We start from the raw sequence: 13732 nt of genomic DNA, 5'->3' as shown, positions 1-13732 counted from the left end.
TGAAGTAAATGTTGAAATTAATGTTTAAAGGATGTTAGAAAGTCAGTGATTTGGAAACATGGAAAAAGTACTGACTGTAATAAATAAGTCTTTAGCTATTGTTGTTTTTGTTGTTCATTAATAACTGCCTCAGAATTTGAATTCTCTACTTTTTATGAATTCATGATAATTTCAGCACATGTTGCCTGCTGTTTTTTTTACCTTTTTTATTAAAAATTTTTAAAATAATATGTGCTACAAATTTAACAATAAGAAAAATCTTTAGCTTATGTACAAGAATAATTTCACAGGCTTTTAAAACTTGTTATCATGGAAAATTTTAAACAGAAAATTGGACAGAATATTATAATATATGCACATTTAACCGTCACCTAGCTTCAACAATTATATGGCCCAATCTTGTTTCCCCTGTAAATGCACCTACAAGTTCCTCCTATCAAAGATAATTTTAAAGTAAATCCCAAACATATAATTTCACTTTTAAATATTTCCATCTGTATCTCAGATTACAAGGACTTTTTTATTTAAAACTGCCAGATCATTTTGAAATCTAAAAAAATTACACAATAATTTCTTTTTTTGAGAGGGTCTCACTCTGTTCCGCAGGCTGGAGCACAGTAGTACATGCGATCACAGCTCACTGCAACCTCTGCCTCCCAGGCTCAAGCTATCCTCCCACCTCAGCCTCGAGAGCATCTAGGACTACAAGCATGTGCCATTATGCCTGGCTAATTCTTGTATTTTTTGTAGAGACAGAGTTTCCCTATGTTGCCTAGACTGGTCTTGAACTCCTTGGCTCAAGCAATCCACCCACATTGGCTTCCCAAAATGGTGGGATTACCAGCATGAGCCACCACACCCAATCAACAACAATTTCTTAATGTCATTGAATATCTAGTCATTATTCAAAATGCCCAGATTTTCTCCGACATGTTTTTATCAAATCAGGAAGTTAAACAAGGTTCATGCCGAAGTAGAGAAACCATCTGTGCTGTACACATCTGTGCTGTACAGTTGTGTGGATTTTTCAGATTGTATCCCAATGGAGTTAACATGTTACTATGTTCCTAGAATCAGAATTCTTTTTTTTGGAGACAGAGTCTCGCTCTGTCGCCCAGGCTGTAGTGCAGTGGTGCGATCTCTGCCCACTGCAACCTCCGCCTCCCAAGTAGCTGGGACTACAAGCGCATGCTGCCACGCCCAGCTAATTTTTTTGTATTTTAGTAGAGACGGGGTTTCACCATGTTGGCCAGGCTGGTCTCGAACTCCAGAGCTCAGGCAATTCACCCACCTCAGACTCCCAAAGGGCTGGGATTACAGACATGAACCACTGCGCCCAGCCACAGAATCAGAATTCTTTTGTGGGTGGTGGGAGTGGGAATATCAAGAATATTTCCTAGGTGTTGCTGTATGTTTCAGTTCATTAGGTGATACAGTTTAAGTTCTCTCTCTTCTGTGATATTAAAATTGATCAGTAGGTTCAGTTTTCCTCAGCATAGATCATCCATTACAGTATTCTCTAATGGTTAGGAGGTATGAATGATTATTGTCAGCCCCATTATTTCAACAGGAGTTGCAAAATTGTGACACACTAAATCTGTCACTCTACTGCAGGTATAATTAGCTAAATTTTCTGTTAAAAAGAACTCCCATCCTCAGTTCTTTAGTCACTTGCAGTACAGTTGAGACAGGCAAGATAAATACTTGATTTCCCCACCTCCGCCCCCACTTCCCACCTGTTTTTGTGAGCATTCAAACACTTAACAGTCTGATTTTACAGTTACATTTTTATATAATGTACTAATTGCAAATGAGTAAAGCAGGCCTAGTGGCTGTGAGATGTAATAAAACTTATTTTCTTTAAAAGTATTCCATGATGCAAAACCTAATTTTCATTGAGAAACAGGTAGAAAATAATATTGCATAATTTAAACCTCTTAATTCTGGATTGATTATGACTTTTGCTACAACATTTTCATTATTGACGTACGATTTTCAAAGTTAAAAATATTTAGTGCCCAAATACACTGTGGATTTTACTGACTTAAAACCACAAATTTAACCTTTTATCTAGTAAATTTTTTATGAATCTAAGATTCTAGGTACTTCAATATGCTTGGTATGTTTTGGTGGGGAGGAGAGGGGAGAATTTAAGAAAAGAAAACATATTATTTTTAGTGTGGTTTATCTGGTATGCCAAATCACATGAAAACCTCAATAATAAGGTGTTGACTACATTGCAATGGAAGTTGTCTTAGAAACTTGCTTTTCAAGATGAGAACATTCTATACTTATAGGTTCATTTTTTTAATCTTATTTTTGTTATACACACACATCCAAACTTTTGTTTCTTACAATTCCTTTTTAGGAAAAATCTATCTTAATGAAGCTTTAGAAATGTACTTTTAGTTCAATAGTATGAGACTTCCTTAAACAATACTGACTTTGCATTTAAGTAAGCCGCCACCAGGGCTACTGCTACCCATCTGCACAAGCAAAGTGAATGAAGAAGAAATAAGTCTTTCCTAGACATGCAAAAGCTGAGGGAATTCATTACCACTGGAATGGCCCTACATGAAATTCTTAAGCGAGTCCTGCATTTGGAAGCATAAAGACAGTATCTACCATCATGAGATCACACAAAGTATAAAACTCACTGGTAGCTCAGACACACAAATAAAAAAGAGAAAGGACTCAAATGTTACCAGTAAATGTTACCAGTACAGAAAACCACCATATCTCATTGATAAACAATAAGAGATAAAGAAAGGACAAAGGATACGTATGCAAAACAACCAGAAAACGATTCATAAAATGAAAGGAATAGGCCAGGTGCAGTGACTCACTCCTGTAATCCCATCATTTTGGGAGATTGAGGCAAGCAGATTACTTGAGCTTAGGAGTTTGAGACCAATCTACGCAACATGGTGAAACCTTGTCGCTATCAAAAATAAAAATTAGCCAGGCATGGTGGCACACGCCTGTGACCCCAGCTACTCAAGAAGCTGAGGTAGGAGAATCACTTGATCCTGGGAGGCAGAGGTTGCAGTGAGCTGAGATCATGCCACTGCACTTCAGCCTGGGTAACAAGAGTGCAGACCTTGTCTGGAAAAAAAAAAAAAAAAAAGGAGCGTCACTTCCAAGATGGCCAAATAGGAACACCTCTGGTCTGCAGCTCCCAGTGAGATCAACGCAGAAGACGGGTGATTTGTGCATTTCCAACTGAGGTACCTGGTTCATTGCATTGGGACTGGTTGGACAGTGGGTGCAGCCCAAGGAGGGCAAGCTGAAGCAGGGTGGGGTGTCGCCTTACCCAGGAACTGCAGGGGGTCAGGGGATTTCCTTTCCTAGCCAAAGGGAAGCCGTGACAGACTGTACCTGGAGAAACAGTACACTCCTGACTAAATACTGTGCTTTTCCCACGGTCTTAGCAACCAGCAGACCAGAAGATACCTTCCCGTGCCTGGCTCCACGGGTCCCACACCCACGGAGTGTTGCTCACTGCTAGCGCAGCAGTCTGAGATCAACCTGCGATGCTGCAGCTTGACAGGGAGAAGAGCATCCACCATTGCTGTGGCTTGAGTAGCTTACAGTGTAAACAAAGCGGCCTGGAAGCTCGAACTGGGAGGAGCTCACTGCAGCTCAGCAAGGACTACTGCCACTAGATTCCACCACTGGGGGCAGGGCATAGCAGAACAAAAGGCGGCGGACAGCTTCTGCAGACTTAAACATCCCTGTCTGACAGCTCTGAAGAGAGCAGTGGTTCTCTCAGCGTGGCGTTCCAACTCCGAGAACGGACACACTGCCTCCTCAAGTGGGTCCCTGACCCCAATGTAGCCTGACTAGGAGACACCTCCCAGCAGGAGCCGACAGACACCTCAAACAGGCAGGTGCCCCTCTAGGACAAAGCTTCCAGAGGAAGGATCAGGCAGCAATATTTGCTGTTCTGCAGCCTTCGCTGTTGATACCCAGGCAAACAGGGTCTGGAGTGGACCTCCAGCAAACTCCAACAGACCTGCAGCTGAGGGGCCTGACTGTTAGAAGGAAAACTAACAAACAGAAAGGAATAGCATCAACATGAACAAAAAGGACATCCACACCAAAACCCAATCTGTAGGTCACCAACATCAAAGACCAAAGGTAGATAAAACCACAAAGATGGGGAGAAACCAGAGCAGAAAAGCTGAAAATTCCAAAAACCAGAGCACCTCTTCTCCTCCAAAGGATTGCAGCTCCTCACCAGCAAGAGAACAAAATTGGACGAAGAATGAGTTTGATGAGTTGACAGAAGTAGGCTTCAGAAGATCGTTAATAGCAAACTTCTCCAAGCTAAAGGAGTGTGTTCTAACCCATCGCAAGGAAGCTAAAAACCTTGAAAAAAGGTTAGGCGAATGGCTAACTAGAATAAACAGTGTAAAAAAGACCTTAAATGACTTGATGGAGCTGCAAAACCATGGCATGAGAACTTTGTGATGCATGCACAAGCTTCAATAGCTGATTCGATCAAGTGGAACAAAGAGTATCAGTGATTGAAGATCAAATTAATGAAATAAAGTGAGAAGACAAGGTTAGAGAAAAAAGAGTAAAAAGAAATGAACAAAGCCTCCAAGAAATATGGGACTATGTGAAAAGACCAAACCTACGTTTGATTGGTGTACCTGAAAGTGATAGGGAGAATGGAACCAAGTTGGAAAACACTCTTCAGGATATTATCCAGGAGAACTTCCCCAACCTAGCAAGGCAGGCCAACATTCAAATTCAAGAAATACAGAGAATACCACAAAGATACTCCTTGAGAAGAGCAACCCCAAGACACATAATTGTCAGATTCACTAAGGTTGAAATGAAGGAAAAAATGTCAAGGGCAGCCAGAGAGAAAGGTCGGGTTACCCACAAAGGGAAGCCGATCAGACTAACAGCGGATCTCTCAGCAGAAAACCTACAAGCCAGAAGAGAGTGTGGGCCAGTGTTCAACATTCTTAAAGAATTTTCAACCCAGAATCCCATATCCAGCCAAACTAAGCTTCATAAGTGGAGGAGAAATAAAATCCTTTACAGACAAGCAAATGCTGAGAGATTTTTTCACCACCAGGCCTGCCTTACAGGAGCTCCTAAAGGAAGCACTAAACATGGAAAGGAACAACCAGTACAAGCCACTACAAAAACATGCCAAATGGTAAAGACCATCAATGCTAGGAAGAAACTGCATCAATTAACGGGCAAAATAACCAGCGAGCATCATAATGACAGGATCAAATTCAGACATAACAATATCAATCTTAAATGTAAATGGGCTAAATGCCCCAGTTTAAAGACACAGACTGGCAAATTGAATAGAGTCAAGACCCATTGATGTGCTGTATTCAGGAGACCTGTCTCATGGGCAAAGATGCACATAGGCTCAAAATAAAGGGATGGAGGAAAATCTACCTAGCAAATGGAAAGCAAAAAAAAAAAAAAAAAAATCAGGGATTGCAGTCCTGGTCTCTGATAAAACAGACTTTAAACCAACAAAGATCAAAAGAGACAAAGAAGGCCACTACATAATGGTAAAGGGATCAATTCAACAAGAAGAGCTAACTATCCTAAATATATATGCACCAATACAGGGGCACCCAGATTCATAAAGCAAGTCCTTAGTGACCTACAAAGAGACTTAGACTCCCACACAATAATAATGGGAGACTTTAACACCCCACTGTCAATATCAGACAGATCAACAAGACAGAAGGTTGACAAGGATATCCAGGAACTGAACTCAGCTCTGGACCAAGCGGACCTAATAGACATCTACAGAACTGTCCACCCCAAATCAACAGAATATACATTCTTCTCAGCCCCACATCGCACTTATTCTAAAATTGACCACATAATTGGAAGTAAAGCACTCCCACAGAAATACAAACTACCATCAGAGAATACTATAAACACATCTATGGGAAAAAAAAACTGGAAAATCTAGAAAAAGTGGATAAATTCCTGGACACATACACCCTCCCAAGACTAAACCAGGAAGAGGTTGAATCTCTGAATAGACCGATAACAGGCTTGGAAATTGAGGCAATAATTAATAGCCTACCAACCAAAGAAAGTCCAGGACTAGACGGACTCACAGCCGAATTCTACCAGAGGTACAAAGAGGAACTGGTACCATTTTTTCTGAAACTATTTCAATCAATAGAAAAAGAGGGAATCCTCCCTAACTCATTTTATAAGGCCAGCATCATCCTGATACCAAAGCCTGGCAGAGACATAACAAAAAAAGGGAATTTTAGGCCAATATCCCTGATGAACATCGATGTGAAAATCCTCAATAAAATACTGGCAAACCATCTCATGCCAGTTAGAATGTCCATCATTGAAAAGTCAGGAAACAACAGATGCTGGAGAGGATGTGGAGAAATAGGAACACTTTTACACTGTTGGTGTGAGTGTAAGTTAGTTCGACCATTGTGGAAGACAGTGTGGTGATTCCTCAAGGATCTAGAACTAGAAATACCATTTGACCCAGCAATCCCATTACTGGGTATATACCCAAAGATTATAAATCATGCTACTATAAAGACACATGCACACGTATGTTTATTGTGGCACTGTTCACAATAGCAAAGACTTGGAACCAACCCAGATGTCCATCAATGATAGACTGGGTTAAGAAAATGTGGCATATATACACCATGGAATACTGTGCATCCATAAAAAAGGATGAGTTCATGTCCTTCGCAGGGACATGGATGAAGCTGGAAATCATCATTCTAAGCAAACTGTCACAAGGACAGAAAACCAAACACCACATGTTCTCACTCACAGGTGGCAGTGGAACAATGAGAACACATGGACAGGGGGCGGGGAACATCACACACCAGACCCTGTTGCTGGGTGGGGGACTGTGGGAGGTATAGCATTAGGAGAAATACCTAATGTAAATGACGAGTTGATGGGTGCAGCCAATCAACATGGCACATGTATACCTATGTAACAAACCTGCACGTTGTGCACATGTACCCTAGAACTTAAAGTATAATTTTAAAAAAAAGGAATAATTAATCACCTATCAAATATAACCTTGATTGTAAATGGCTTAAATTTTCCACTTAAAAATATAGACTGGCTAGTCCGGGCATGGTGGCTCACCCCTGTAATCCCAGCACTTTGGGAGGCCAAGGCGGGCGGATCATGAGGTCAGGAGATCAAGACCATCCTTGCCAACATTCTGAAACTCTGTCTCTACTAAAATACAGAAAGTTAGCTGAGCATGTTGGTACGCGCCTGTAGTCCCAGCTACTCAGGAGCCTGAGGCAGGAGAATCGCTTGAACCTGGGAGGCAGAGGTTCAGTGAGCCAGGATCGCGCCACTGCTCTCCAGCCTGGTGACAGAACGAGACTCCATCTCAGAAAAAAAAAATATGTATGTGTGTGTGTGTGTGTGTGTGTGTGTGTGTGTGTGCATATGTATGTATATATGTGTGTATATATACATATATATACACACACACATACGTTTTTAGACTGGCTAAATGGATTCTTTTAAATGACCTACCTAACTTTATGCTGCCTACACAACACTCACTTCACCTGTAACAACATGTATAGACTGAAAGCTAAGGGGTGAAAAGAGATATTCCGTGAAAACAGAAACCAAAAATGAGCAAGAGTTCTTATACTTATATTCGATGAAAGGTAATTGAACAAAAAAGAGACATATAAGGTCTTTATATAATAATAAGGAGAACAATTCAGCAAGATAATGTAATCTTAATATATACGCATCTAACAGTGGAGCACCCAGATACATAAAGAAAATATTATTATATCTAAAGGCAGAGATAGACTCTGTCTTAATCCATTTGTGTTGCTATAAAGGAGTGCCTGAAGCTGTGTAATTTGTAATGGAAAGGGGTTTAGGTGGCTCACAAATCTTCATGCTTTACAAGGAACACGGTACCAGCATTTGCTTCTGGTAAAAGGCTCAGACTGCTTCCACTTGTGGTGGAAGGTGAAAGGGAGCTGATATGCACAGAGATCATGTAGCAAAAAATAGGACACGAGAGAGAGGGAAGTACCAGTCTCTTTTTAACAGCAGGATCTCGAGGATATTTTTATGGAAATTAATACAGAACTCAATCATTACCGTGAGGATGGCACCAAGACATTCATAAGGGATCTGCCCCCATGATCCTCACGCTTCCTCTTAGGCCCACCTCCATCATTGTGAATCAGATGTCAACGTGCTTTCTAAACTATAGTAGACTCCATCCAGTACATTAATAGTTCAGCACTTCAACATCACACTCTCACTGTTGCACAGATCATCTAGACAGTCAATAAAGAAACATTGGATATAAACTGTACATTAGACCAAATAGGCCCAACAGACATTTACAAAACATTTTATCCCACAGCTACAGAATACATATTTTTCTCATCAGAATATTATTACTTTTCCAGGACAGACCAGATGTTAGGCCACATAAAAAAAATCAACTAATTTTTAAAAATTGGCATCATATCAAGCATCTTCTCATGCCACAATGGAATACAACTAGAAATCAATGACAAGAGGATCTTTGGAAACTGTACAAGTACATGGAAATAAAACAACATGCTCTTGGTCAACCATTTACTCAATAAATTAAGGCAGGGCATGGTGGCTCGTGCCTGTAATCTCAGCACTTTGGGATTGAGCTGCAGTGAACCATGATTGCACCATTGTACTGCAGCCTGGGCAGCAAAGCAAAAGCTGGTCTCCAAAAAAAAAAAAAAGAGAAGATAAAGAAAAAAAGGTGAAAGAGTCTGCCCAATAAGACCTGAAGTAGGGCGGGCGTCGTGGCTCACACTTATAATCCCAGCACTTTGGGAGGCCGGGGTGGGCGGATCACTTGTGATCAGGAGTTCAAGACCAGCCTTGCCCACATAGTGAAACCTCATCTCTACTAAAAATGTAAAAATTAGCCGGGCATGACTGTGGGCATTTGTAATCTCAGGTACTTGGGAGGCTGAGGCAGGAGAATTGCTTGAACCTGGGAGGCAGAGGTTGCAGTGAGCTTTGTGCCACCACACTCCAGTCTGGGTGACAGAGTGAGACTCCATCTCAAAAAAAAAAAAAAAAAAAAAAAGACCTGAAGTAAGGCCGTGAAAGTGCAAGGGAACAGGTGCAGTGGCTCACGCCTATAATCCCAGCAGTTTGAGAGTCCAAGTTGGGTGGATCGCGTGAAGTCAGGAGTTCAAGACCAGCCTGGGCAACATGGCAAAACTCTGTCTTTACAAAAAAGTACTAAAAAATTAGCTGGACTTGGTGGCATGCTCTTGCAGTCCCAGCTGCTTGGGAGGCTGAGATGGGGGGATTGCTTGAGCTTGGGAGGTTGAGGCTGCAGTGAGCAATGATTATGCCACTGCACTTTAGCCTGAGTGACAGAGTGAGACCCTGTCTCAAAAAAAAAATTAAGAAGGAAGTCCCTTGGGGCCAGGTGGCCAAAGCCACAATACACTATGATTGCAGCTGTGAATAGCAACTACGCTCCACCTTGGACAACATAGACAGACTCTGTCTCTAAAACCAATCAAAAAAACTTAGCAAGCCAAATCCAAGAACACATCAAAAAGATAAAACAACGTGAACTAGTGAGATTTATCTCAGAAATACAAGGATGGTTCAACATATGCATGTTAGTAGATTAAAAATAGATATCTCATGCTCATGGACCATAAGAATTATTATCATTATATGACCATATTTCCAAAAGCAATCTACAAATTCAGTGTAATCTCTATCAAAATAACAATGGCATTCTTCACAGAAATAGGAAAAACAATCCTAAAATTTTTATGAAACAACAAAATATACTGAGTAGTCATAACAATACTGAGCAAAAAGAACAATTCTGGAAGCATCACACTGCCTGAGTTTAAAATGTGCTACAGACATATACTACAAAGTTATAGTAACCAAAACAACATAGAACTAGTATAAAAACAAACACAGACACAAAGACCAGTGGAACAGAATAGAGAACCCAGAAATAATTCCACAGCCAACTGAATTTTGAGAAAGGCACCAAGATTATACGTCATGGAATAGAAACTTTCTTTAATAAATAGTGCTGGGAAAACTGTACATCAGTATGAAAAAGAATGAAATTAGTCCCCCCACCATGATATACAAAAAATTAACTCAAAATGAATGACCCAAAACTATAAAATTACTAGAAGAAAACATAAGGGAAACACTTCAGGATATTGGTCTAGGCAATGATTTTATGGCTAGGAGTTCAAAAGCTCAAAAACAAACAAACAAACAAAAAAATTTCAAAAACAAAAAAAAGATAAATGGGACTATGTTGTGCTAAAAAGCTTCTGCACCTCAAAGGAAACAGTCAGCGGAGTAAGAGGCAACCTGTATAATGAGAGAAAATATTTGGAAACTGTTCATTAGGCAAGGGACAAATATCCATAATATACAATGAACTCAAAGAATTCAACGGTAAGAAAGCAAATAATCCTATTGAAAAGAGGGCAAAGGATCTGAGTAGACATTTCTCAAGAAAAGATATACAAATGGCCAATAGGTTTATGAAAAAATGCTCAACATCTCTAATCATCAGTGAAATTTAAACTACAGTGAAATATCTCATTGTTATTCAAATGGCTGTCATCAAAAAGATCAAAAAAAAAATCTCAAACAAATCCTGCTGAGGATGCAGAGAAATGAGAACACTTATACATTGTTTGAAATGTAAATTAGTACAGCCATTATGGAAAACAGTATGGATGTTTCACACAAAAACTAAAAATGGAACTACCATACCATCCAGCAATCCCACCAATGGGTATTTATCCCAGGGAAAGGAAATCAGTATATTGAAGGGATATCTGTACCCCCATGATTATTGCAATAGTACTCAAAATAGGCAATATATGGAATCAACCTGAGTGTCCTTCAGCTAATGAATGGAAAAAGTATGGCATATATACACAATGGAATCATATTCTGCCATAAAAAAAGAATGAAAGCCTGTTATTTGCATCAACATGTGTATTGAGATCATTATGTTAAGTGAATTAAGCCATGTACAGAAAGTCAAATATCACAAGTTCTCATTCATATATGGGAGCTAAAAGAGTTTATCTCATAGAGATAGTCAATAATAGTTACCAGAAGCAAAGTGTAGAGTGGGAGATGAAAAAAGAGTGGTTAATGGGTATAAATATACAGTTAGAAGAAATAAGTTCTAACATTCAATAGCACATCAGGGTGACTGTAGTTAACAACAGTATATTCTGTATTTCAAAGTAGCTAGAAGAGAAGAATTGAAGTGTTCCTGACACACAGAAATAAATATTCAAGATGATAGATGTCCTAAATATCCTAGTTTGATCATTATATATTATACACATGTATGAGAGGCATTTGCTTAATCTGTTGTATAAAATGTATAGCAATTATCTTTGATGAGTGATCTTTCAGAAATTATATGAGGAAGTTTTAAAATGTTAATTATTGTAGTTGTGTTATATAGAACCCTGTTTCTGCTTTTGAAATCATTTCAGCAAACCTTCAGAGTACCTGCCTCATGCAAAGGCCTCTCTGCTATTCATTGTATGAGATACAAAGATGACAAGAAGTGCCATCAGCCATCAAAAACAATTTAGTTTACTGGGAGTAGCTGACAAGTCTAGCCATTATGTGTGGCAGAATGAAATAAGTGCATATTAGTTATGAACTACTATGTAGCAATAACAGGTAATAGTAAGCAGTAGTCCCGCTATCTTGGGACTGTCATGTCCTACAAATTTAGCTAAGAATTTGGCCAATTTTTATAAAATGGTATACACTTCTCATTGTCCAGAATATATTCATTCCTAGAACACTGTGTTAGTCCTTTTGTGTTGACATAAAGAAGTACCTGAGACTGGATAATTTACAAAGAAGGGGTTTATTGTGGCTCATGGTTCTCCATGCTTCTTCTGGGGAAGCCTCAGGAGGCTTCCACCAATGTTGGAAGGCAGAGGGAGAGCAAGCACATCATATTGTGAGACAGGAACAGAGAGAGAGGGGGGAATGCCAGGCTCCTTTAAACAATCAGCTCTTGAATGAACTCAGAACCATGGGGAGGGCACCAAACCATTCATGAGGGGTCCACTCCCATTACCCAGATAGATACTTCCCACTAGGGCCTACCTCCAACATTGGGGCTCAGATTTTAACATGAGATTTGGAGGGGACAAACATCTAAACTATATCAGACATACAAAACTTTTGCAAACAATAAGCTTTAGCTGAAATTCTTAATATAAAGAGAACTTCCTGTTGAAGAAAAAACAAGTAATGTATGAATTCTCAGTTTTTTCTTTTTAAATATTTTTAGTTCTTAATTTTTTTAAATAGTCAAATCTATATGACTTCTAATGACTTATCCACTATATGATTATAACAATTTATTTAACATCTCTTTTTTTTTAAGTTATGTATGTTGTTTCTGGTTTTTTAAATTTTTATTTTATTTTTATTGCTCTGGTGCCTGATTTTGTGGACATCGCTCATAATCTCATGAAGAGTTTCTGCATATGAAATAAATGGTTAAACAAGTATAAAGGTGTTTTTTGTTTTGTTTTGTTTTGTTTTTGAGACACAGTTTCGCTCTTGTTGCCCAGGCTGGAGTGCAATGGTGCAATCTTGGCTCATTGCAGCCTCTGCCTCCTGGGTTCAAGGGATTCTCCTGCCTCAGCCCCCTGAGTAGCTGGGATTACAGGCGCCCACCACCATGCCCAGCTAATTTTTGTATTTTTAGTAGAGACGGGGTTTCACCATGTTGGCCAAGCTGGGCTCGAACTCCCAACCTCAGGTGATCCGCCCACCTCAGCCTCCCAAAGTGCTGGGGTTATAGGCATGAGCCACTGCACACGGCAAGATTTTTAAAGAGGTGAAACACTTATCTTGCCCTGAAGAAAGGCTCATGAGAGTGCTTATTTCTCTCATTTTTGCCAGCACTAGGTATTACCTTTTTTGAATTATCATTGGATGATTGGATCCAATCATTATGATTGGAAAAAATGGTATTTCATTATGATTTTGATATGCATATCTTACATTATTGAAATGGAATTCCTTTTTCATATGTGAAAACCATTTCTGTTTTTTCTATTACTGATTTTTAGCTTTTCCTAAATTCTCTGCTTTGCAAATTCTGTTATTCTGACAACCAAGGCATTTATATACAACCACAGGCAATTCCGATTCATCTCTGCTACAGTTTTCCAAATAGTCTTCAAGGACTGAAGTTCTTTAATACCACATTCTTTATAGTAACCTGATCATGTCATTCTGATTGTCTCACTTTCTTCGATAATCCACTTTAAGAAAATAAATTCTGTCTTTTAGTAACCCCACTCTTCCATGCATAGCAGAAGTGGCCATCTGTTACCTAAAGTCGACTCTGTTATATTCCTTTATTCTTGCAAAGGAAACTCAACCTTATCTTTTCACCTCATTTCATAACTAAAGAATAAGCATCTGCATTGAGGAAACAATGACAAAATATCAGCATCCAGGTTCTTGTCCAACAATGGAATATATGTATCATGAGGACGGCTGAGAATGAAGATTTTTATGGTTGAAACTGCAGACACATGGGAACATTAATATCCCTTGATATTCTTGATTTGAAGAATTTGATTTTAGACAACAGTGTATTTGAGGCAATGGATGGGATATTCATGCAGGCACCCAGTTTCAA

At 39.4% G+C, this 13732-nt stretch overlaps 1 protein-coding gene across 2 annotated transcripts in view, besides 1 other annotated feature; it reads left to right on the top strand.

Annotated features, from left to right (window-relative positions):
* Nucleotides 1-13732, top strand: part of ITFG1 (integrin alpha FG-GAP repeat containing 1) — a 306856-nt gene that overhangs the window by 32530 nt on the left and 260594 nt on the right. The window lies entirely within an intron of this gene.
* Nucleotides 3564-4064: an enhancer, noted in NCBI's record as "H3K4me1 hESC enhancer chr16:47458564-47459064 (GRCh37/hg19 assembly coordinates)". NCBI's record gives its function as "activates a minimal SCP1, AML or CMV promoter by ChIP-STARR-seq in primed H9 embryonic stem cells {active_cell/tissue: H9 hESC(primed)}" and the evidence as "EXISTENCE:reporter gene assay evidence [ECO:0000049][PMID:30033119]".

Source organism: Homo sapiens, chromosome 16 (genome assembly GCF_000001405.40).
Source record: "Homo sapiens chromosome 16, GRCh38.p14 Primary Assembly".
In the NCBI taxonomy this organism is placed as follows: Eukaryota; Metazoa; Chordata; class Mammalia; order Primates; family Hominidae; genus Homo; species Homo sapiens.
Note: the sequence above shows the minus strand (reverse complement) of the source record. Positions and strands in the feature narration are given on the sequence as shown.